A 21202-nucleotide genomic window follows, 5' to 3' on the forward strand; every position below is an offset into this window, starting at 1 on the left:
ATCTAGACACTGGCAGAGAGCTGCAGAATATGGTGTGCTCGGCATTTCCACATTGTAGGAATAAGCCTTATAAATATGGATATGCATTCCTGTAATGTCATTCTCCAGCATTCCACATTACAACAAAATGGTCCAATTTGAATGAATAAAATATAGTTCCTTGTAGCTCACATTCCAGTCTCAACAGTAACTCCATTCATGGCCACCAGCAACATGGAGTGTCAGTTGAGGCACAGATTTCCACTCTCCCTTCTGTTTATACTTCCCATGTGTATAAAGAAGGAGTCTGGAGGCTGGGTGTGGTGGCTCATGCCTATAATTCGAGCACTCTGGGAGGTCGAGGTGGGTGGATCACTTGAGGCCAGGAGTTCAAGACCAGCCTGGCCAGCATGGTGAAACCCCATCTCTACTAAAAATACAAAAATTAGCAGGACGTGCAGGCATGTGCCTGTAATCCCAGCTACTCGGGAGGCTGAGGCAGGAGAATCGCTTGAACCCCAGAGGCGGAGGCTGCAGTGAGCCGAGATCGTGCCATTGGCACTCCAGACTCGGTGACAGAGCGAGACTCCTTTGTAGGAAAAAAAAAAAAAAAGAAAGAAGGAACCTAGGGATATATATTTTTTTTAAAGATGGGAGGAGTAGTAGTTTATCTCTCTGAAAACTTAAAGTCTGGCTTATCTTAACAGTCTGGTTTTCAGTGATTGTTTATTTCATAGTTCCTCTCATGACAATGCCTGAGTAGTGGGCAGAATTAAAGTAACAAAAAAGACACATTTATCCACATAGTCAATTCACATGACACCTGAGATTGTCAAACAGGTGTGAGCAGTAAACTTAATTGTTGATACAATAAATCACACAAAATGTCCTAACAACCAGTCTCCTCTGAGTTGGCTGAAGGAAGCATTCGGAGGAGGTACCACAGGGAGAGCCTGTAGGGGCGAGGCCTTGGCCTTGGCCTTGGGTACCTGAGGACTGAGCACCATGCGTCGGACCCTGAGTCCTGCCCTGGCCTGGGTCCACTGTCTCATCCCAGATGGCTGTAGGGCATGTCTTCGAGGACAGTGCTTCGTCTGGACATAGAAACTGTAGCCCTCCTCTTCGTCACAGCCACCATTCTCCTCTTTCATCGCAGTTTCTCTTCCTAAGTTCCCCAGCCACCAGCCTGAGTTTGTTTTCTCTGGGGGGATTTCAAGTCAATTTCTTTACTAAGATGCACACTTTCATTCTAAAAGGCAACAGCATGATGCTGATTTTGCCAGGATGAACATATCTGTGACATACGTGATAGATACATTCTGCTTCCCTCCCTCCCTCTGCCTCTTCTCCCTCTGCCCTCCCCTGCCAACATCCCCCAGCTGTTGTAACTGCAGCTGGTCTGCTCTTCCTGGGCCCTGCTCCCTCTTCTTGCCTATGCATTTTCTCTGTTCCCTGTCCCTTCCTCTCGAATTGCCTCTTTAATTCTCAACTTCACTTCCTAACATTACTCTTTTCATTTCTCTGCTTTGCACCAGGCACCTTCTTTTTCCTGTTCTTATTCCTTTTTTTTTTTTTTTTTTCTTTCCATGTTCTCTTTTCTGTTTGTAGATATAATAGTCATTCCATCTTTGGACATTATTTCAATTCAGACTGTGATTACATTTTGCCTTATTCTTTTTTTGTCTCTTAAGCATCAGGATGGACCAACATGAGTATTATAACAAGGGCTCTAATGAAGTAAAACAGGCCAGGTGTGATGGCTCATGCCTGTAATGCCAGCACTTCGGGAGGCGGAGGCAGGAGGACTGCTTGAGTCTAGGAGTTCCCGACCAGCCTGAGCAACATAGCAAGACCCCACCCACCTCTACAAAAATTTTAAAAATTAGTTGGGCATGGTGGTGTGCATCTGTAGTCCCACCTATTTAGGAGGCTGAGGTGGGAGAATTCCTTGAGCCCAGGAGTTTGAGGCTGCAGTGAGCTATGATGGCACTACTGCACTTTAGCCTGGGCAACAGAAGGAGACCCCAACTCTAAAAAAATAAAATTTAATTTAAAAAATTTAAAATGAAGTAAAGTTTAAGTATATTCAATTTTTGTGTGTGTGATGATGGCAAAAATCCTAATTAAATGGTATTAGAGTGTTAGGCCAGGTCCTCCTTGGAAATTCATTAAAGAATTATCCTTTCCAGCGGGGTGCAGTGGTTCATACCTGTAATCCCAGCACCTTGGGAGCCTAATGCAGGAGGATCAGTGGAGCCCAGGAGTTTGAGACGAGCCTGGGCATCATGGTGAGACCCCGTCACTACAAGAAAATCTGAAAATTAGCCAGGTGTGGTGGTCGATGCATGTGGTCCTAGCTACTTGGGAGGCTAAGGCAGGAGGATCACTTGAGCCCAGGACATCCAGGCTGCAGTGAGCTATGATCATGCCACTGCACTCTAGCCTGTGCGACAGAAAGAGACCCTGTCTCAGAAAAAAAGGAATTATCCTTTCCACTGTAAGCACAAGAAATGTCCTCATCTCAGCATTGGTAAAAAGCAGACCCTCCCACCAGGACATGTCTCAATCTAAGGGGATTTAGAACAGTTTCCAGTTCTTGGCCAACACTCCTAGAGAAGGCTGGGCTGGGCGGACACAGGAACCATTCTTCTGCACAGGTCCCCACCCCCTCTCCCAAGGCTGCAGGGTGAAATGGGCCTGTTACCTTGTTATTCCATGTCCTCTTGTCTAACTCCATCCATTGGCTGTTCTAACCATGCCTGCTTATTGATTTGCTTAGAGTAGATAGATACTACCTGCCACTTCCTGTTGGACTTGTTTTTAGAAGACACCCTTTTCAGCCTTCTCCTCCCCACAACCCTTCCAGGCTGCTGACGCTGTACTTCCCTTGCTGAACTTGGCTTTTCATGTGTGCTCCTGTCCTGTGAGGCTGGGAGAGCCAGGCATACAAGCCCTTGCCTGGCTGTGCTCCTGACTTGGCATGCTGGGGTCCCCAGGGGGCATGTGGAGGGGACCCTTGGGCTTATCTCTATTATATCTCTGCAGTCTCACTGCCCACTGTGCAAGGCTGAGGGGGAGCTGGGCAAAGGTGGGTGGTTTTGGTACCGCTGAGTTCAAAGGGAGAGAAGACATTTCCCTCAAGGGATTCTTGCGCCAGGGAACATCATTGAAGTATTAGAAATACTCTGCCTCTTTATTTCTGCCCCTGGAAGAAAGAAGTACAAAGTCAAATTTATGAGCACCAGTGGAGTACAATGAAAACAACACTGAATGTTATTTTTAAAAGACCTGAGTTCAGATTCCTTTTGAGCCACTCATTCTTTCCGTAAGCTTGGGCCAGTCACCTCTCTCCACTGGGCCTCAGACATTTTTTGCAAAGTGAGGGGTTTGGAGTAGGTGATTGCTATGGCTTTTTGCAGCTCTGTGGGGTTAAATATTAGCCAGATTAGAGATAAATATCAGGCCAGGTGTGGTGGCTCATGCCTGTAATCCCAGCACTTTGGGAGGCCGAGGTGGGCGGATTGCTTGAGACCAGGAGTTTGAGACCAGCCTGGGCAACTTGTTGAAACCCCATCTCTACAAAAAATACAAAAGTTAGCTGGCTGTGGTGGTGCATGCCTGTAATCCCAGCTACTTGGAAGGCTGAGGTGGGAGGATCACCTGAGCATGGGAGAATCATCTGAACCTGGGAATTCAAGGTTGCAATGAGCCAAAATTGGGCCACTGCACTCCAGCCTGGGCAACAGAGCGAGACCGTGTCTCAAACAAACAAACAAACAAACAAACAAACAGAGAAAGATGAACATTTCAGAAAATATATTCTTTGAGGAATATAATGACTATGTAACCCAAGGACCTAGGTCTAGAGCAGTGGTTCTCAGCTGGGGGCAATTTTACCCCCCAGGGGACTTTGGGCAACTTCTGGAGACATTTTTGCTTTTCTAATCTGGCCTTCCTCTACTTGCAAATACTATTTAATCTTCCGAATTTCTACCCCATTTTCCCCTCCCTTTTCCCTGTCCTTCTAGCCACCACTCACCAGTAGTCAGTCCCTCCCTGGCTTTTCCCCATTTGGTTCCTCTGTCTCCTTTGTCACGGTTAGGTGGCCACAGCAAGGCAAAGAGGACGTCCAGATTGTTCCTATCCTTTATAGGGTTTTAGTATTGATCATGGAAAGACTTGCTGGCCCTGGGGCCTTCTTTGCCTTGGCAGCGACCCAGTGTGGCAGAATGCAATGTTCTGGTTTGGGGTCTCAAGCTAAGGGCTGGTGAGGAAGGCTGCGGAAGTATAAATCTTCAAAGTGAATATGTCCCAAAGGGGCTGGAGAGTTGCACCAACCTTTAGGGTCTTGATTTCCCTCAGTGGTTCCTACATTTCATGTAACTGTTTTCTATAATTTTTTTTGCACTTTTAAGAGACTTTTTATGTAAATGAATTTATAGGTTAATGAAAAATTTTTGTCATAACATATATCCCAACTTTTGGTTCAGAAAATGTGGCCACCATGCCCACTGGGAAATGTTGGGATCTCCATGAAAGAGGTGGCTGGATGAAAAAGCTCATGGCTTGAAGGTGGGAAAGAAAAAAAAAGAAAAGAGAAGAAAGTGGAAAACAAATTAACTTATTACAGGATGGCATCATGGTTTCCTGGCATGGTGTTGAGTCTAGAAATCAGTTGTGCACAAGGTATGCCTCAGTGCTCACTAGACATGCTGGAGAACCTGGTTGTGGTGGTTGTGAACTGCTTCACTGCTTCAGAATGTCTTTCTTCTGTTTCTCTCCAGCAACAGTTGGGCAAGAATATCAAGTTTGGGCAGCGGTCACCCAATGCCATTCCCATGAATAAGGCAAACAGTGGAGAGGCTAGCTTAGAAGAGGATCTGTTCCTGACCAGTCCCATGGAAATTGTGACTCAGCAGGACATCGTCCTCTCAGACGCAGAGAACAAGGTAAGTCTCCTCCAGGGAATGACTTGATGGCTCATAAACCAGGGCAGGACATTGGGCCTCCAGTAACCCTGGGGTCTGCAGCAGGGGAATTAGAGGGAGGAGCTTTTCTCATGAGTAGCTCAGGGCTTGAGGGCACTTCCTGGTAGGTGTCCTGACCTGTAGCCAGTGAAGAGGACAGGGAGGAAGAGGAGACAAGCCCTTTGCAGGCGGTCTTCCCAGTGTCTTTCACTTACCCTTCAAGGCTTATGCCTACCTCTTCTGGGAAGCCGTACCTGGCCTCACCCCAAGCTGTACTGTCTTCTTGTGCCTTTGCTGTGTGTCTTTACCATTTTTCACACGTCTGTTCTCCCTATCTATGTCCATGTAACTGTTTTCTCTCCATCTCTAAACATGGGATTCCTTGAGAACAAACTGGGTCTGACACATCTTTGTCTCCCTAGGACTGAGCCACTGCCTGCTTTGCAGTACTGCCTAATTATTTGTCCAAGTGGACTAATTTAAAGGGAAATGAAAAAAGAAATGCGTAGGGGCTCCATGAGATAGAAGACATCAAACAGGCCAACTTGAAGAGTACCTAGTCTGGAAAGAAAGTCACATTCCAGCACCATCCTGTCTAAATTTGATCTCTTGACACTTTGAGCATATCCTGAAATGAGAGTTCTTCCAAAGCAGCAGAAAAGATGCCCTTAGACCTCTTAGGGAAAAAGGAGCAAAGTCCAACCAGTAGCGAGTCAGGAATTCTCTAGGTGAGGCACTGGGGTTTCACTTTAAAAAAAAAAATGAAAAAACAAACAAAAAAAAAACCCATTCTCTAGGCTCTGCCTATCAAGACCCCTGGAATTTTGTTGGGTGTTATTAAAATGGGCATGTCTCAGAAGAAATCATGCATTATCAACTGATGTGTCATGAGAGTAGTGAGAAAGACGAGTGATTTGCAGAGGCAAGTGAGGAAGGGATGTGAAAAAGGACATTCCTCCCCTGTTGCCCATTGTGACACCTGGCACCCACGCATTGACACCCTTTGTGTGGTAGGTCAAGCAGGGATGGGCCCATCTCTCCCGGCAGCTCTAAAATTGCTCTTCCCAACCTCTCCAGTGCTAGGCAGAAGCAACAGCCATCGCCTTGGTGCAGGGGTATCCTGAGATCTGAAGCAAATGTCCTCACAGTTATTGATGAGCTCATAAGTGCTGGGCACTGTGGCCTGGGGGATTGTTTGTTCAGCAGGCTCTGTCTCAGATATGGGTATTACAGAGGTGAGCAAGATTCTACAAGGGGCCCCCCATCTCTGTAGTTTACACCCTAATGAGAGGGTGTAACAAACAACAAACAAGTCAACCAGTATATAAATAGAATCATTTCAGATCAAGAAAAATGCTGGCTGCACAGAAAATAAAACAGGGTAATGGAAAAGTGAGTAACTTGGTGGTGGAGAGGTCTCTTATTTGGGTGAGGAGTGTAGCAGGACCCTAGTGGGAGCAAGGGGAGGGTAGAGAGAGGTGCCAAGCCGGATTGTATAGACCATGGGAAAAGGGTAAATTCTATTTGGAAGATAATAGGAAGCCTCTGAGTAATTTTAAGCAGAGCAGTGACATAATCTGATTTGTATTTTCTGAAGATTCTTCTAAGTGTGGTGTGGAGAACAGACGGAGGTAGGGCAAGCTGACATGGTTGCTCTGGAAGGGAAGAAAAGACTCTTTTGTAAGAAATGGCAATACAGGATAGATGGTGTCGCAGGGGCCAGGCAGTATGGCTCATACCTATAATGCCAGCACTTTGTGAGGCTGAGGTGGGAGGATCACTTGATGCCAGGAGTTTGAGAACAACCTGGGCAACATTTTGTAGAGACCTCATCTCTACAAAAATTATAAAATAGGCTGGGCGTGGTGGCTCATGCCTGTAATCCCAGCACTTTGGGAGGCCGAGGTGGGCGGGTCACCTGAACTCAGGAGTTCGAGATCAGCCTGGCCAATATGGTGAAACCCCATCTCTACTAAAAATACAAAAATTAGCCGGATGCGGTGGCGCATGCCTGTAATCCCAGCTACTCGGGAGGTTGAGGCTGCAGAATAGCTTGAAGCCAGGAGGCAGAGGTTGCAGTGAGCTGAGATCACGGCACTGTACTCCAGACTGGGCGACAGAGCAAGACTTTGTCTCAAAAAAAATATATATATATAAAGTAAAAAGTTAGCCAGACGTGGCACATGCCTCTAGTCCCAGCTACCTGAGTGGCTGAGGCTTGAGCCCAGGAGTTCTAGGCTACAGTGAGCTGTGACTGTACAGCTGTACTCCAGCCTGGGAGACAAAGTGAGACCCTGTCTCAAAAAAAAAAAAAAAGAAAAAGAAGATACCACTATAGGAGGCATAGTGGGCCATATGAAAGGTACAAATGACCTCTGGGGGTCTCCTGGGCATGCCTAGGACATGGGGGTGTGAATCTTTAGCCTTTTTCTTCTCCCTTTCTGCTGTTTTCTTGGCCCCTCCCTGGTCTTTCACCTTCTCAGCCCAGCTCTTTGCATGTGGAGTTGGTAGGCCTTCTTTCTTCTCACTCATTGCTTAGATGGGGGAGGTGTGGCTGGAGAAGGGGAGAGGCAGCCAGCAAGGCCAAAAGCATTGAGGTTGGAGGCCATGTATGAGACACAGCCCTGCACCCCAGGGAAAGTGGCTGTTGAGCTACTCACATTCTGTCAGGCAGTGGAGAAAAACACAAATGACCGAGACTGGGGACTACCCAGGTGGGAAACACATTGAACTCGGGGAGAGGCTGGTGCACCCTCTGTGTCTCAGGTAGTGCTGGTGGAGTTTGGATATTAGCATAGTCTCCACTGGGACACCTGCTGGCTCTCTGAGGCCAGCTGCACCCCTGTGTAGAGGAGGGGGTGACCCTACCCAGGCACAGACAGTGTCTGGTTATTTGCCCAGAACTTCCTGTTCAGGCCTTTGACTTGAATGCTCTCTTACTGTTCCAGTCCAGTGATACGCCAAGTTCTCTAAGTCCTCTGAATCTCCCTGGAGCTGGAAGTGAGATGGAAGAGAAGGTAATATGATTTGAACTTATTTATTTGGCTTCTTTCCTTACTTAACTTTCATCTTCCCCCCCCCTTTTTTTTTTTTGCGACCTGCTGCCTCATTTTCCATTCATAAATGTTGCCTTCATATATTTAAATTCCTTCAGAATGCCACTAGTGACAGATGTTGGAGCATCTGTTTCCATGGCAAGGCAACTGCTGGAACTGAACTCTGCTCTGAAAACTAGCCATACTCCCAGCATGCCTGTGTTTGGGGTCCTAGAAGTTGGTAGCTTTCCTCAAAGGATCATGTACTTCAAGATCCTGTTAATTGATTGAAAAAGGCATTCCAGAATATCCAGTCTGTAAGGAAACGAGTCCTCTTATATTTAGAGAGGCAAAACAAAAACAAAACAAAAAAGCACTTTAGCATTTCTCTACTTTTATGTTGTTTTTTAAACTTTTCTGTGTCCTTTTTTTTAAACCTGGGACTTTACCTGCAGGAGTGTAAGAACCCTGTGGACTCTTCTCCCCGGGCACCTCTTCTGTAGGAGCCGATCTGCCCCATTGAGGACCTTTCATCTGCACAAGGGGCCAGGCATTCTCCCAAGGCCTGGCAGACAGTATAGGAAGCAGGATCTGCTCCTGAAGAAGGGGATGGCTCAAGACAGTGCTGCCGCCCAGACAATGAGGAAGCCAGCTGGGATAGCTAGAAACAAAGCACAGCACTTAAATCTCAGCATCAAGTGCTTATCTATGTCTTCAATCTGTCACATTTGGCTCCGACTCCTTTTTCTCATGCATCTATTAGGGGATGGAAACAAATGTTTCATTCAGCAATAGCTTAGAATCTCATGCCCATTATAAAGATAACCATAAATAAATGAAAGCTAGAAGGCCAAAACTTGATTTTTCTGTGCTTCTTGTCATAAATTAATATATACTGAGCATCCATTTTGCTTTTAGAGCTAGCTGCTTGGTCTTTCATCTTTTGTGCATATAGAAGATAATTGCAAAAAGCAAGCCCATCTGCTAAACCTCACCACTCCATGCCTACAGCAGAAACAAACAAATAAACCCTGGCCACATCGGAGCTGCTGGCATAGTGCCGCACCCCCTGCCACACTCTAGCAGGAGCCCTTTGCTTGCTGCCAGCCTGTGAATTCTCTGTAGGTACAGGCGTGGTGTCCTACCTTCTAATTCAGTGTGGCCTGTGGGTTCGGGCTGTGTCACGATCTCTCTGATCTTTCCAAATCTACCCTTCATCTGAGGTTGTGTTTTTTTTTAGTGATTGCATCTGTATTCTAGAGCTGCAGGCCATTCCACAATTCATCCTTTGAAGGACCGCACTTGTCCCGGTGGCAGATTTTTGCCGCTCATTTTTCTCATCAGGTCCCTCTTCCTTTTATCTTCTCAGTGCAGTCAGTACCCTGAGACTTCTTTGGAGCGATTGTACCAAAACTTTTGTGTGTGTGTGACAGAGTCTTGCTTTGTGGGCTAGGCTAGAGTGCAGCCTAGCGATCTCAGCTCACTGCAACCTCCGCATCCTGGGTTCAAGCAATTCTCATGCATCAGCTTCCCCAGCTGGGATTACAGGTGTGCACCACCACACCCGGCTAATTTATTTTTAAAGTATTTAGTAGAGATGGGGTTTTGCCATGTTGGCCAGACTGGTCTCGAACTCCTGGCCTCAAGTGATCTGCCCGCTTCAGCCTCCCAGAGTGCTGGGATTACAGGTGTGAGCCATCGCACCCAGCCATACCAAAACATTTTTGTCGATCAGGAATTTCGTGTTCCAGGTATAGATGCTATACTTTATTTTCCTTTATTCCTTCAACAGATATTTATTGAGCACTGACCAAATGAGGTTTGCTACGTGGGTGTAAAGGGTACCCATACAAAGATGAAAAAAGACACACTCCCAGCCTCAAAGGGACTAAGTCCTGTGTAGGAGCTGAGGCATATATGCAGTGTCTGAGAGTTTAACAGTTCTTAGCACAGAGGTGATCTAGGCCAGGGGTCAGCAAACTACTCATTATTTTAGGCTTTGTGACATGAAGCTACAAGTACTCTCCTTTGTGCCACTCTTCCTTCATAGCACAAAAAGCAACCAAAGACAATGGGTGTAGCTGTGGCCCGGTAAAACTCTGATTCTCCAAAACAGGCTGTGGGCAGGATTTGGCCTCCTGGCTATGTTTTGCTAATCTTGGAGCTACTCTGAACCTCATATTAGTCAAAGTAGGAAAATTAGTTCCTAAAAGTTATATGACTTTTACAAGTTAATACCAGTGGACGCTGGCAGAACAAATAGTCAATGTCCTTTGGTTCCAAAACGGGTGTTCATTTCATTTTCTGAGGAGTTCCCTCTGCTCACCTGCATTCCCTGGGCCAGGCTGGGCGAGGCGCACACTGGAACGAGTGCCACCGTTCTGCGATTCCCTGCAGGTTGTCTTCTGATCCCAACTGACTTTCTATTTTAATCTCCCCTACAGGTTGCTCCCGTTAAACCGTCTCGGCCAAAAAGGCACTTCTCTTCTGCTGGCACCATCGAAAGTGTCAACTTAGATGCCATCCCCCTGGCCATCGCTCGCCTGGACAACAGTGCCGCCAAGCACAAGCTGGCTGTTAAGCCAAAAAAACAGAGGGTGTCAAAGAAGCACAGGCGCCTTGCCCAGGTGTGTAGAGCCTGCACGGGCTGACCAGGCAGGTGCCCTTGCCTACTGGGCACTAATTCTACAAGTGGGTTGGCATTGGGGTGGAGCCATGTAAAGACCTGAGAGTCTCCCCATCGGGAACTTGAGTGTGTGGCGGTGTTGGGGAATACACAGGCCTGTTTACTTTCCTCGCCCTTTCTGGCATGAGGCTGGTGGACCTCAGAGGGAGCGGTTGCCTTTTGAGGGGCTCCAGACCCGTTGTGTTTGCTTTGCAGTGGAAAAGTGGTTTAGCCAATGCTCCCTCAGTTTGACTAGGATAGGCTTCCAAGTCACAAGCTCCAGGGGACATTAATGAAGTCCAAGTCTCTTTTTGCTCATCTAATGCTTGAATATTGGTTTTCCTCGTTTGTTCATATTAAGGAAAGGAATTAGGGAATGACAAATAAAGGAGCTGGTGGGGAGGGGGGCGCGGAAACAGAATACACGTCCTTTTCTCCATTCGCACGACAGAGTCTTGCGTGGGGTGACCGATGCCTGAGTTTAGCTATCCCTGAACTTGAGAATACCTGCTTCCAGGTGTTCTTGAGAAATTAAGAGGGTCGCTGGCACTGTGAATAGGAAAAGGAACGACTGTGGGTGGAGAAAGCAAAAGGCTAATTGTGTTTTCCTTTCCAATGTTAGGATCCACAACATGAGCAAGGCGGCCTTGAGAGTCGGCCCTGCCTGGACCAGAACGGACACCCAGGCGAGGACAAGCCAACGTGGCACGAAGAGGAACCCAATCCGCTGGATTCCGAGGAAGAGAGAAGACGCCAAGAAGACTACTGGCGAGAACTGGAGGCCAAGTGCAAGCGGCAAAAGGCGGAAGCAGCCGAGAAGAGACGCCTAGAGGAGCAGAGGCTGCAGGCGCTGGAGAGGAGGCTTTGGGAAGAGAACAGAAGGCAGGAGCTCTTGGAGGAGGAGGGCGAGGGGCAGGAGCCGCCTCTAGAGGCGGAAAGGGCGCCGCGGGAAGAGCAGCAGCGGAGCCTGGAAGCGCCAGGTTGGGAGGACGCGGAGCGGAGGGAGCGTGAGGAGCGCGAGCGCCTGGAGGCGGAGGAGGAGCGAAGGCGTCTGCAGGCCCAGGCCCAAGCGGAGGAGAGGCGGCGGCTGGAGGAGGACGCCAGGCTGGAGGAGCGGAGGCGGCAGGAGGAGGAGGAAGGAAGATGCGCGGAGGAGCTCAAAAGGCAGGAGGAGGAGGAGGCTGAGGGATGGGAAGAGCTGGAACAGCAGGAGGCGGAGGTGCAGGGGCCGCCCGAGGCGTTGGAGGAGACTGGGGAGGGCCGGCGGGGCGCGGAGGAGGAGGATCTGGGGGAAGAGGAGGAGGAGGGCCAGGCGCACCTGGAGGACTGGAGGGGGCAGCTCAGTGAGCTTCTGAACGACTTTGAGGAGAGGCTCGAAGACCAGGAACGCCTGAAACCCGAAGGACAAAGAGAACACTCCGAGGAGCCAGGTATTTGCGAGGAGCAGAACCCAGAGGCCGAGCGGCGAAGAGAGCAGCAGGGAAGGAGCGGGGATTTCCAGGGGGCCGATCGTCCTGGGCCCGAGGAAAAGAGAGAAGAAGGGGACACGGAGCCTCTCCTGAAACAAGAGGGGCCGGTGGAAGCCGCGCAGCCTCCGGTGGAGAGGAAAGAAGCCGCCGCCCTTGAACAAGGCCGCAAGGTGGAGGAGCTGCGGTGGCAGGAGGTGGACGAGAGACAGACCATGCCCCGGCCCTACACGTTCCAGGTGTCCTCCGGAGGGAAGCAGATTCTCTTTCCCAAAGTCAACCTGAGCCCCGTGACGCCCGCAAAGGACACGGGGCTCACCGCTGCTCCCCAGGAACCAAAGGCCCCCAAAGCCAGCCCAGTCCAGCACGCCCTACCGTCGTCCCTGAGCGTTCCCCACACCGCCATTCTGGTCACGGGCGCGCAGCTCTGTGGCCCGGCAGTCAACCTGAGCCAGATCAAGGACACCGCGTGCAAGTCCCTCCTGGGCTTGGAGGAGAAGAAGCACGCGGAAGCCCCAGCTGGGGAGAACCCTCCCCGAGGCCCCGGCGACGCGAGGGCGGGCAGCGGGAAGGCTAAGCCCCGCCAGGAGTCTCCCAGCAGCGCGTCCGCACTCGCAGAATGGGCTTCCATTCGGTCCAGAATCCTGAAGAACGCAGAGAGTGACCCGCGCAGCAGCGAGAGGGACCAGTTGAGGCCCGGTGATGAGTCCACTCCCAGGGGCCGGTGTGATTCCCGCGGGAACCAACGGAAGACTCCGCCAGTCAATGCAAAGTTCTCTATTATGCCTGCCTGGCAGAAATTTTCCGATGGTGGCACGGAGACCTCCAAACAGAGCACGGAAGCTGAAAGCATACGAAAAAGACCCATGCTGGGACCCAGCGAAGAGACAGCCCCCCAGCCTCCTCCTGCTGGTGTTCGCGAGCTCGGGAAGGGTCCGGAGAAGTCGGAGATGCACCGGGAGCCCGCAGACACCACCGAGGGATGCAAATTTGCCAAAGACCTCCCGTCTTTCCTTGTCCCAAGCCTTCCTTACCCTCCGCAGAAAGTGGTGGCCCACACAGAGTTCACGACCTCGTCGGACAGCGAGACTGCAAACGGGATAGCAAAGCCAGACCCTGTGATGCCAGGTGGAGAGGAAAAAGCCTCACCGTTTGGAATAAAATTGAGAAGGACCAACTATTCCTTGCGCTTCAACTGCGACCAACAGGCAGAACAGAAGAAGAAGAAGAGGCACAGCAGCACCGGAGACAGCGCGGATGCAGGGCCGCCTGCAGCGGGGAGCGCTCGTGGAGAGAAAGAGATGGAGGGTGTGGCCCTCAAGCATGGTCCATCCCTCCCCCAAGAGCGGAAGCAAGCCCCTTCCACCCGGAGGGACTCCGCTGAACCTTCCAGCAGCCGCTCTGTTCCTGTGGCCCACCCTGGGCCTCCACCGGCCAGCAGCCAGACCCCGGCTCCGGAGCACGACAAGGCAGCAAACAAAATGCCACTGGCACAAAAGCCAGCACTGGCTCCCAAGCCCACCAGTCAGACCCCACCAGCATCCCCACTTTCCAAACTGAGCAGGCCCTACTTGGTAGAGCTGCTGTCTCGCCGAGCGGGGAGGCCGGACCCAGAGCCAAGTGAGCCGTCCAAGGAGGACCAGGAGAGCAGTGACCGCCGGCCACCCTCGCCCCCAGGCCCCGAGGAAAGGAAGGGACAGAAGAGGGACGAGGAGGAAGAGGCGACAGAGAGGAAACCTGCTTCCCCACCTCTGCCTGCCACTCAGCAAGAGAAACCTTCTCAAACACCCGAGGCCGGGAGGAAAGGTAGGTAGCTGCAGGGTGGGTAACTGCTGCCAGCCGAGGTGTCAGAGCCAGGGCATCAAGAAGAGATCCACACGCAGGTTCATGAGAATAATTTACCAACAATACAGATTTGAAAAAGGAAAGTTTTATTAGAACGCTGCAGAACAAAACCGTGGGGCGCCTCAGTGAGAGGACTGAGTGCCCTGGTGGATTTTCCTTAGGAGCATTTATGGACCTTAAGTCGAGAGCTTAAGGGTAATTGGAAGGGTAATTTGGGCCACATTAGCCACGTAGGTCGTGATAAATGATTACATTTGTGGACATTTTGGTGCCTTAATGTCAGCAAGGGTTGCAAAATGAGTTTTGCCATGACATTCCAGAGATGTCTAGAAATTCTAGTTATAAAAGTTGAAAAGCCTGGAACCAGATGCCTATGTTAGATACTAGGGAAGTTTAATTCTGAATTCCCCAGATAAGGAGTTTTGCCTCTGGATGGTCTGTTTGATGGTCACCAGGTGGTCCTTGCGCTCCTTGTCTGCCTCTGTCCAGCTCATTGACTACGTCACTGCTAGAACCAGAAGTGCCCAACGCCAGAGGCAGCCAGTGGAGCTGGTGTTGGGCACACCTTCATTAATTAGAGGCTGGTGTGGGATTCCCGAAAGACACTCACTCGTGATTCATAGTAAGCCTTGTTACTTCTCATTCTTTCAAATTTGGGAAATGCTGACCAACTCTGCAGTGTGTCTGCAGTTCACTCTTGATAATGATACTTATTTACACAAGCGATAAAAGGTGCCAACAGTTAGATGAATGCCTTTTCGGTTGGCAATAGAAATTGAAATAATAATCCCAACGACTGAAGATGTCATTAACCATTTTGAGGGGGCCTCGCAGTGATGATAAAACTGGAGTGTCCCCTACCAGTGTCTTCACTGTATCTCTGGGCAGTAGTGGCACCATGATGGCAGTTTAGGGGACTTTAGGTGTCTCCATCAGACCTATGGATCCTCTCTATGGGATAATTGACTGTCTCCATTTTATGTAAAATGCTCTGCAAATGCAGCTTGGGTCCCTCCATCCCCCCACCCACCCCCTACCCTCACCCAGCTCACCACTGCAGAGCCCTCCTACAAAGAAATTTTGGAGCAAGCCTTACCTCTGGCTGACCCTGATGTTTCTTCAGATTAAATGTTTGGGCCAACAAAGCTGTCAGTTGGATTAGCTTTTGTGCCCCCAGAGAACCTTCATCTAATACTTTTTCTTTTCTATTATGCAGAGTATAGGAGGTAAAGTATGGGTCAAAGCCAAAAGTTACTCACATTTCCCAGAGAAATTGTCCCCTGAGGTTTTCTTAGGAGGGATTGTTTTCTCCTTTGTTCAAGTATTTAGATTTGGGGCAGTTTTTGCAGAGGAATGATTTGTTTCCTGAGGAGTGTTGGTCTGGTTACTTGCCTTTACAGAAGACCCCATATATCCTTATTTTATTTTATTGTTTATTATTGTTAGTATCTAGAGACAGGGTCTTGCTATGTTGCCCAGGCTGGTCTTGAACTCCTGGGATCATGCATCCCTCCTGCCTAAGCCTCCTCGTAGGTGGGACTACAGGTGTGAGCCACCGCACCCAGCTTGTCCTTTTTTAAATAGTCCACTTGCTTGGCCTGGTTTTCTGGACAGACATGTTCATCAGCAGTTTCTAGACCATTTCTCCCTAATGATTTCTGTTTGTCCTGCTGGATGAGGGGCCCGTTTTTGGTTTTGCCACTAGTGTTTGTGGCACTGGCTTTCATAGTATCTGCAAAGTCTCTCTCACAGCCTCGTCTGCTATGTCACTTGCCTTCTCCAAAGAAGTCATGCTTCTGCTCACTTCCTTCTCTTAGGGCTGTCCCCTTGATTATTATAATTTTCTCCCCAAATCTATCACTGTCCCTGTTTTCTTTCCCAGTGGAGCCAGTGAGGACAGATTCTGGGCTGTCACACTCTGCTATTTGAATTTTTCCTGATTCGATACAGAAATAGCCTGAAAGCAAGGATCACTCTCTCCATTCACTGGGGTTTTGTTATGCAACTTGCTGCTGTAGGCCAGGACTGGCCAAATTTGTCTGACTGAACACCCCATCAGGATAAAAATGTTAGGCAAGGACCTGCAATTTATTTGTTGATTGTATACATGTAGTATCATTGTTAACTAAAACCCCTGGAGCACCAGCTATACTTACACTTAACAACAGTGGATCTAAATCTGCAATTGCAAGTCATGGTGCTATTTTTTATTCTCTTTGGCCAACTTCTTCTTGGATATGATTTCTTCGGAAGTAGCAGGCAAAGAGTTCCTCAGCTCTGTTATTTTCTCTTACTCGTATTATTAGTAGTATATTGTCTGCAGGACTTTCTCTATGCCATATGCCATTTGTCTATTGTGGAAGGGATCATTTAGTTAAAAGGAGATATAAACTCGCCAAACTGCAGAACCTCCCATATGCTAAATTCAAGAACCACTGAGAACAAAAAGCACCCACCACATGCAGCCCCACATAGCCTTCCCAGCTTCCCTGGAGATTCTTTAAACATACCATTTGTTATTACATGGCCTTTGAATATATGGGCTATGGGGTCACTGCCAGTCAGGGTACTAAGTATTAGAAAAGCTTGATTTTGGCCAGACGTGGTGGCTTACACCTGTAATCCCAGCACTTTGGGAGGCTGAGGTGGGCAGATTGCTTGAGCCTACCAGGAGTTCAGGACCAGCCTGGCAATGTGGCAAAACCCTGTCTCTACAAAAAATTCAAAAATTAGCTGGGCATGATACACACCTGTGGTCCCATCTACTTGGGAGGCTGAGGTGGGAGGATTGCTTGAGCCTAGTAGGTCGAGGCTACAGTGAGCTGCGATCTCACCACTGCACTCCAACCTGGGTGACAGAGTGAGACCCTGTCTCAAAAAAAGGAAAAAAAAAAAGCTTGATTTTGTTTTTATCCTTACATTTAAAAATAGAGAAATAGAAATTCTAATCTTTCTTTCTTAACTCCAGTGAATTGCCTCTCACATTTCCTGTGACGTACGCAACCATTTTTGGAGACCAGTGCTTTATAAAGAGGCCTGCATTGCCAAGGCTGGGGCCAGTGAGGACAAATATGTAGACTTGTAGGGTGTTGACTCTGAATCTACCTGGTGAGATTAAAACAGCAATGATAATCCCCATGTGCTTGTACTATAAACACTTTCAGGCCAGGCACGGTGGCTCACACCTATAATCCCACAGTTTGGGAAGCCAAGGCGGGCAGATCACTTGAGGCAAGGAGTTCAAGACCAGCCTGGCCAACATGGTGAAACCCTGTCTCTACTAAAAATACAAAAATTAGCCAGGTGTGGTGGTGGGCACCTGTAATCCCAGCTACTCAGAGGCTGAGGCAGGAGGATTGCTTGAACCCAGGATGCAGAGGTTGCAGTGAGCAGAGATTGTGCACTGACTCCAGCCTCAAAAAAAAAAAACAAACCTTTCATTACACCTAGCATCTCATTCTGAAATTCTAACGTACTTAGGGTGGATAAAACAGAAAAATAGCTTAGTATCCCTTTCTCCAAGGAATGCCCTTTGGGAGTAGTGACTAGAACCCTGTGATCCTTGCTCATCTCCTCAGAACTTGAGGAGGCAACTCAGGTGGACTATGATACGCCTGTCCACTGAGTTTAGAATGAGAGAGAATGGGTTTATATTGGAGCAAAATACATTTTTAATTAGGAATTTTGAACTCCTCAAATAGGTGATGCAATTGACTATCTTTCAAAACCTTGACTGTAATAAGAGATTTTACTGTGTTTGGATGATTTCAACACTAGTCATCCTTTGTGCGACATCATTTACAAAGTTATTTGCATCGTCTCCTTCGGTGCTCACAGCACACGGATAGGTAGGTAGTCTTGGCTCCATCTTACAGACATGGACAGCAGTATCTGAAAAGTTGAGTGACTTGCCTGCTCCCTACAGTGGTTATGATGGCACATGGAGGAGTTCTTTCCTAGACTAAGTGATCTTCCGTTATCACAGCCCCATCATAGTGTGAGTGATGGTCCAGTGTTGAAGCTTCTGAATATATACTCTTTGGTATGGGTGACTTCGCCATCTTGGGTGCCTCACGTGGAGGTGGGGAGGCCCTTCCACCAGCTTCATAAAATAATGGCAGTAACCTTCATGATCCCAAAGCAACCTCTACTTTGGTAGCAGAAGCCTGTCAGGCACTGGCCTCCCCCTGAGGTGGACTCAGTTTATATATAAACCAGATCTGAATTCCACATTGTGGTCTTTCACTGCCACGTCTTGTGCTTCTAAGAGAACATCTTTAATGATTTGGGTCCCTTTTTGTCGCTGAATCCCAGTTGAGCTAAGCCTGGTCAGTGGACATTTCTCCTACCAATTTTGCCAAATACAACATCTTGTCTTTGCTGTCTTTTAGTTTTCTTTGGTATTGGTAGATTTCTGCTGGTCTCTGAGGTTCTGCAGGCAGTTGTGGAGGATAAACGGTTTTATTCTTCTTCTCCCATTTTTGAGAAGTGTCAAGAGAAGCACTTGTGTGGACCTGGGATTGGGGTAAAATGCTGAGATGAAGGAGACCTGCCAAGGCCACTGCGTCCACATTGCACCCAGCTGTTCCAGTACTGCAACCACTATCTTCCCTCCTCCTCCTACCCAGAGATTTCTTTTTTCAAATTAGTCAATTATAAATTTCATTACTAATACTTAAAGGCATTTTGACCCTTCCAGTAAATAATAGTCTAAGTTGTTGGCAGGAAACTGGCTGGTTGTTTTAGTGACCTTCCCAAGCAAGTTCAGATGTAGTGTTTAGCCAGAATCAGAATTCCCTTTGGTATAATAGCTTTCTATAGAAATCATTTAGATCTTGGCAACTTGGTTTTTAGAAGTTTTCTAAAGAAGTGTTACAGGGACCTGGAGTAAAATACAGAAACTTGTTAAGTTTCAGTGTAAAGCAGAATGTTTGAGGTGATGAATTCTTTTTGATTTTCTGGTTAACTAAAGATGAAACAAAAACTCTTTCAAATTCAGTTTTGTTTTAAAATACTTCTAAGAGATGTCAGTCTTATTTTCTCTGTTAGATCATAACTGAATCGTTATTTGATGATTTAGGGATATTGCAGTGCCCCAGGCTCATTATAAATATGAATTCTCTTTGTACAGCATTGTAGATCTAAAGAATATAGAAAAATAAGCAGAATCTGCCCCCTGCCCTTTTTGCTTGAATTTCTAATTTGAATTTATTTTCTCATCACTGCTCTTTCTTTTCATCCTGGAATACGATATAAAATCCAGTTGACTGAGAGCCCTGGAAGTAAGGTTCTGGACTACCAAAGTGTAAACTTCTATTGGATTTCAAAAACAATACTATAGTGAGCTCCTTTCCTTTGAGATAATAAGAGATTCAATAACTGATTATCTCTGAACATGCATAATTTTTACTTGAGGGAAAAGGAGATTCTTGTCTCATAGGCATATAAGAACAGCTCACTTTTGTAGAGTGACCAGGATTTGCCAAGAACTGTTGTAAATGTTCTGGTTCCCAGGATCTCTTTTAATTTTCATGGCAACCCAATAAGACATTATCATCTCCACTTTCTAGATTAGAAAACTAAAGCTTAGAGAAGTTAAGTAGTTTTTGTAAGATCATCAAAGATCAAATCCAGGTCTGCTCAATTTTAGAGCCTAGTACTCAACCTGTCACATGAACCTCCTGTGAGGTATTTACCCCCAATTACATAGGTGAGACAGTCAACCACAAGAAAAACAGAGACGGAAGTCAGAAGGCCTATGTTCTAGCTTCAGAAGCCTGTGTACTAACTGCTGAGTGACCATGGGCATGGCACTTGGTGGCTGGAGTACTCACATCTATTAAATGAGTGCAGTGGACCAAAATCATGGGCTTCCCACAGTGTTCTTCAGCTTCCCCATTAGGCAGAGTAGTGCTCCTTTTTCATCTTTCCAACATTGGAGTTCCACGTAGTATGTTCTTTGAGGGGAAAAAATGGTTCCATGGCTAAAAATAAATTTCATTTAAAGCAATGAATTAGGGCCGGGTGCAATGGCTCACGCCTCTAATCATAGCACCTTGGGAGGCCAAGGCAGGTGGATCACTTAAGGTCAGGAGTTCGAGACCAGCCTGGCCAACATGGTAAAAACCCATCTCTACTAAAAATACAACAATTTGCCAGGTGTGGTTGCAGGCGCCTGTAGTCCTAGCTACTCGCGAGGCTGAAACAGGAGAATTGCCTGAACCCAGGAGGCAGAGGTTGCAATGTGCCGAGATTGCACCACTGCTCCAGCCTGGGTGACAGTTCAAAACTCTGTCAAACAACAACAAAAAGGAATGAATTTAAAAAAGAACAACGAACCAAATACCTATCTGGATGCCCTGGAGGCCTGAGATGTTATGACCCTGGAGATTTATTTGAGTTTTTTTCTAACAGAGTAACTTCTTCCATTTCTAGGGAAGACAAATACCCTTGTTTTTCTGGTGATCAAACATGTTACCTTCCCACCCAGTGGAGCCACTCAGGCATCAGCACAGAGGTTGTGCTAGGAAGGGGCCAGCTGAATATGCCATAGGGTTATTAATATGTCACAAGTTTTAGGGGGTGAGGAACTGAGGTAAGTCCGCAGTTAAGTTCATTGCAAACCGTTCTTTGTCTTATTCCCCACAGAGAAGCCGATGCTTCAGAGCAGACACTCCTTAGATGGCTCCAAACTTACAGAGAAAGTGGAAACTGCTCAGCCGCTGTGGATAACGTTAGCACTGCAAAAGCAAAAGGGGTTTCGGGAGCAGCAGGCGACGCGGGAGGAGAGAAAGCAAGCCAGAGAGGCCAAACAGGCAGAAAAGCTCTCCAAAGAAAATGTGAGTAGCCTGGGCTTCAGCTGTGATTTTGCTTTCCTGAGCTTGGTTCTCTTTTCAGTCACAAGGATACAAAACAAAAGGCTAGCTGGGCTGGTGGAAAGTACTTAGAGAGGGCCAAGCAGTAAATAAACTGACCACCATTAAACCAGGGAAGCGTTTTCAGTGTGAAACTGGGTTTGGTTTGTTTATGCTCTTAGGTTAACCTGATTTGCCATAATCCACGATACGCTTACAACAGTGATATACAAGTTACATGAGAAACACAAACATTTTGCAAGGAAACTGTGGCCAGATGTTATAGTCAGTTTGATGAGGCTCTTCTGGGAAAGTAACTTTCCCTGTTAGGCACACTGGCTCTGAGCTGCCCCCTCACCGGAAGCCGTGGTTGAGCGTACATGGCTCATAC

At 47.8% G+C, this 21202-nt stretch overlaps 1 protein-coding gene, 1 long non-coding RNA gene and 1 pseudogene across 14 annotated transcripts in view, besides 2 other annotated features; 2 read left to right on the forward strand and 1 right to left on the reverse strand.

The window, feature by feature from the left end:
- Positions 1-21202, forward strand: part of CRACD (capping protein inhibiting regulator of actin dynamics) — a 281512-nt gene that overhangs the window by 253674 nt on the left and 6636 nt on the right. For 10 of the 13 annotated variants that reach the window (XM_047415994.1, NM_001393381.1, NM_001393384.1 and 7 more), the window contains 5 exons: positions 4764-4928; positions 7895-7963; positions 10426-10608; positions 11269-13918; positions 20606-20796. In XM_047415994.1, coding sequence (XP_047271950.1) covers positions 4764-4928; positions 7895-7963; positions 10426-10608; positions 11269-13918; positions 20606-20796 — 3258 coding nt within the window. Of the gene's footprint in view, positions 1-4763; positions 4929-6003; positions 6339-7894; positions 7964-10425; positions 10609-11268; positions 13919-20605; positions 20797-21202 lie in introns of those variants that run through there. The other 3 variants (XM_005265756.3, XM_005265755.3, XM_006714045.3) reach the window with 3 other exon arrangements.
- Positions 7566-8765: an enhancer, noted in NCBI's record as "MED14-independent group 3 enhancer chr4:57176503-57177702 (GRCh37/hg19 assembly coordinates)". NCBI's record gives its function as "activates an origin of replication core promoter dependent on BRD2, BRD4, P300/CBP and CDK7 cofactors, and independent of MED14, by STARR-seq in HCT116 cells {active_cell/tissue: HCT116}" and the evidence as "EXISTENCE:reporter gene assay evidence [ECO:0000049][PMID:35650434]".
- Positions 7975-8837, forward strand: LOC124900707 (uncharacterized). Its single transcript, XR_007058127.1, has 2 exons — positions 7975-8298; positions 8437-8837. It is a non-coding gene; the product is annotated as an uncharacterized LOC124900707 (long non-coding RNA).
- Positions 10103-10603: an enhancer, noted in NCBI's record as "H3K4me1 hESC enhancer chr4:57179040-57179540 (GRCh37/hg19 assembly coordinates)". NCBI's record gives its function as "activates a minimal SCP1, AML or CMV promoter by ChIP-STARR-seq in naive H9 embryonic stem cells {active_cell/tissue: H9 hESC(naive)}" and the evidence as "EXISTENCE:reporter gene assay evidence [ECO:0000049][PMID:30033119]".
- On the reverse strand, positions 17876-18563 carry MRPL22P1 (mitochondrial ribosomal protein L22 pseudogene 1; annotated as a pseudogene).

The sequence above is a fragment of the Homo sapiens genome, chromosome 4 (assembly GCF_000001405.40).
Source record: "Homo sapiens chromosome 4, GRCh38.p14 Primary Assembly".
Taxonomy (NCBI): domain Eukaryota; kingdom Metazoa; phylum Chordata; class Mammalia; order Primates; family Hominidae; genus Homo; species Homo sapiens.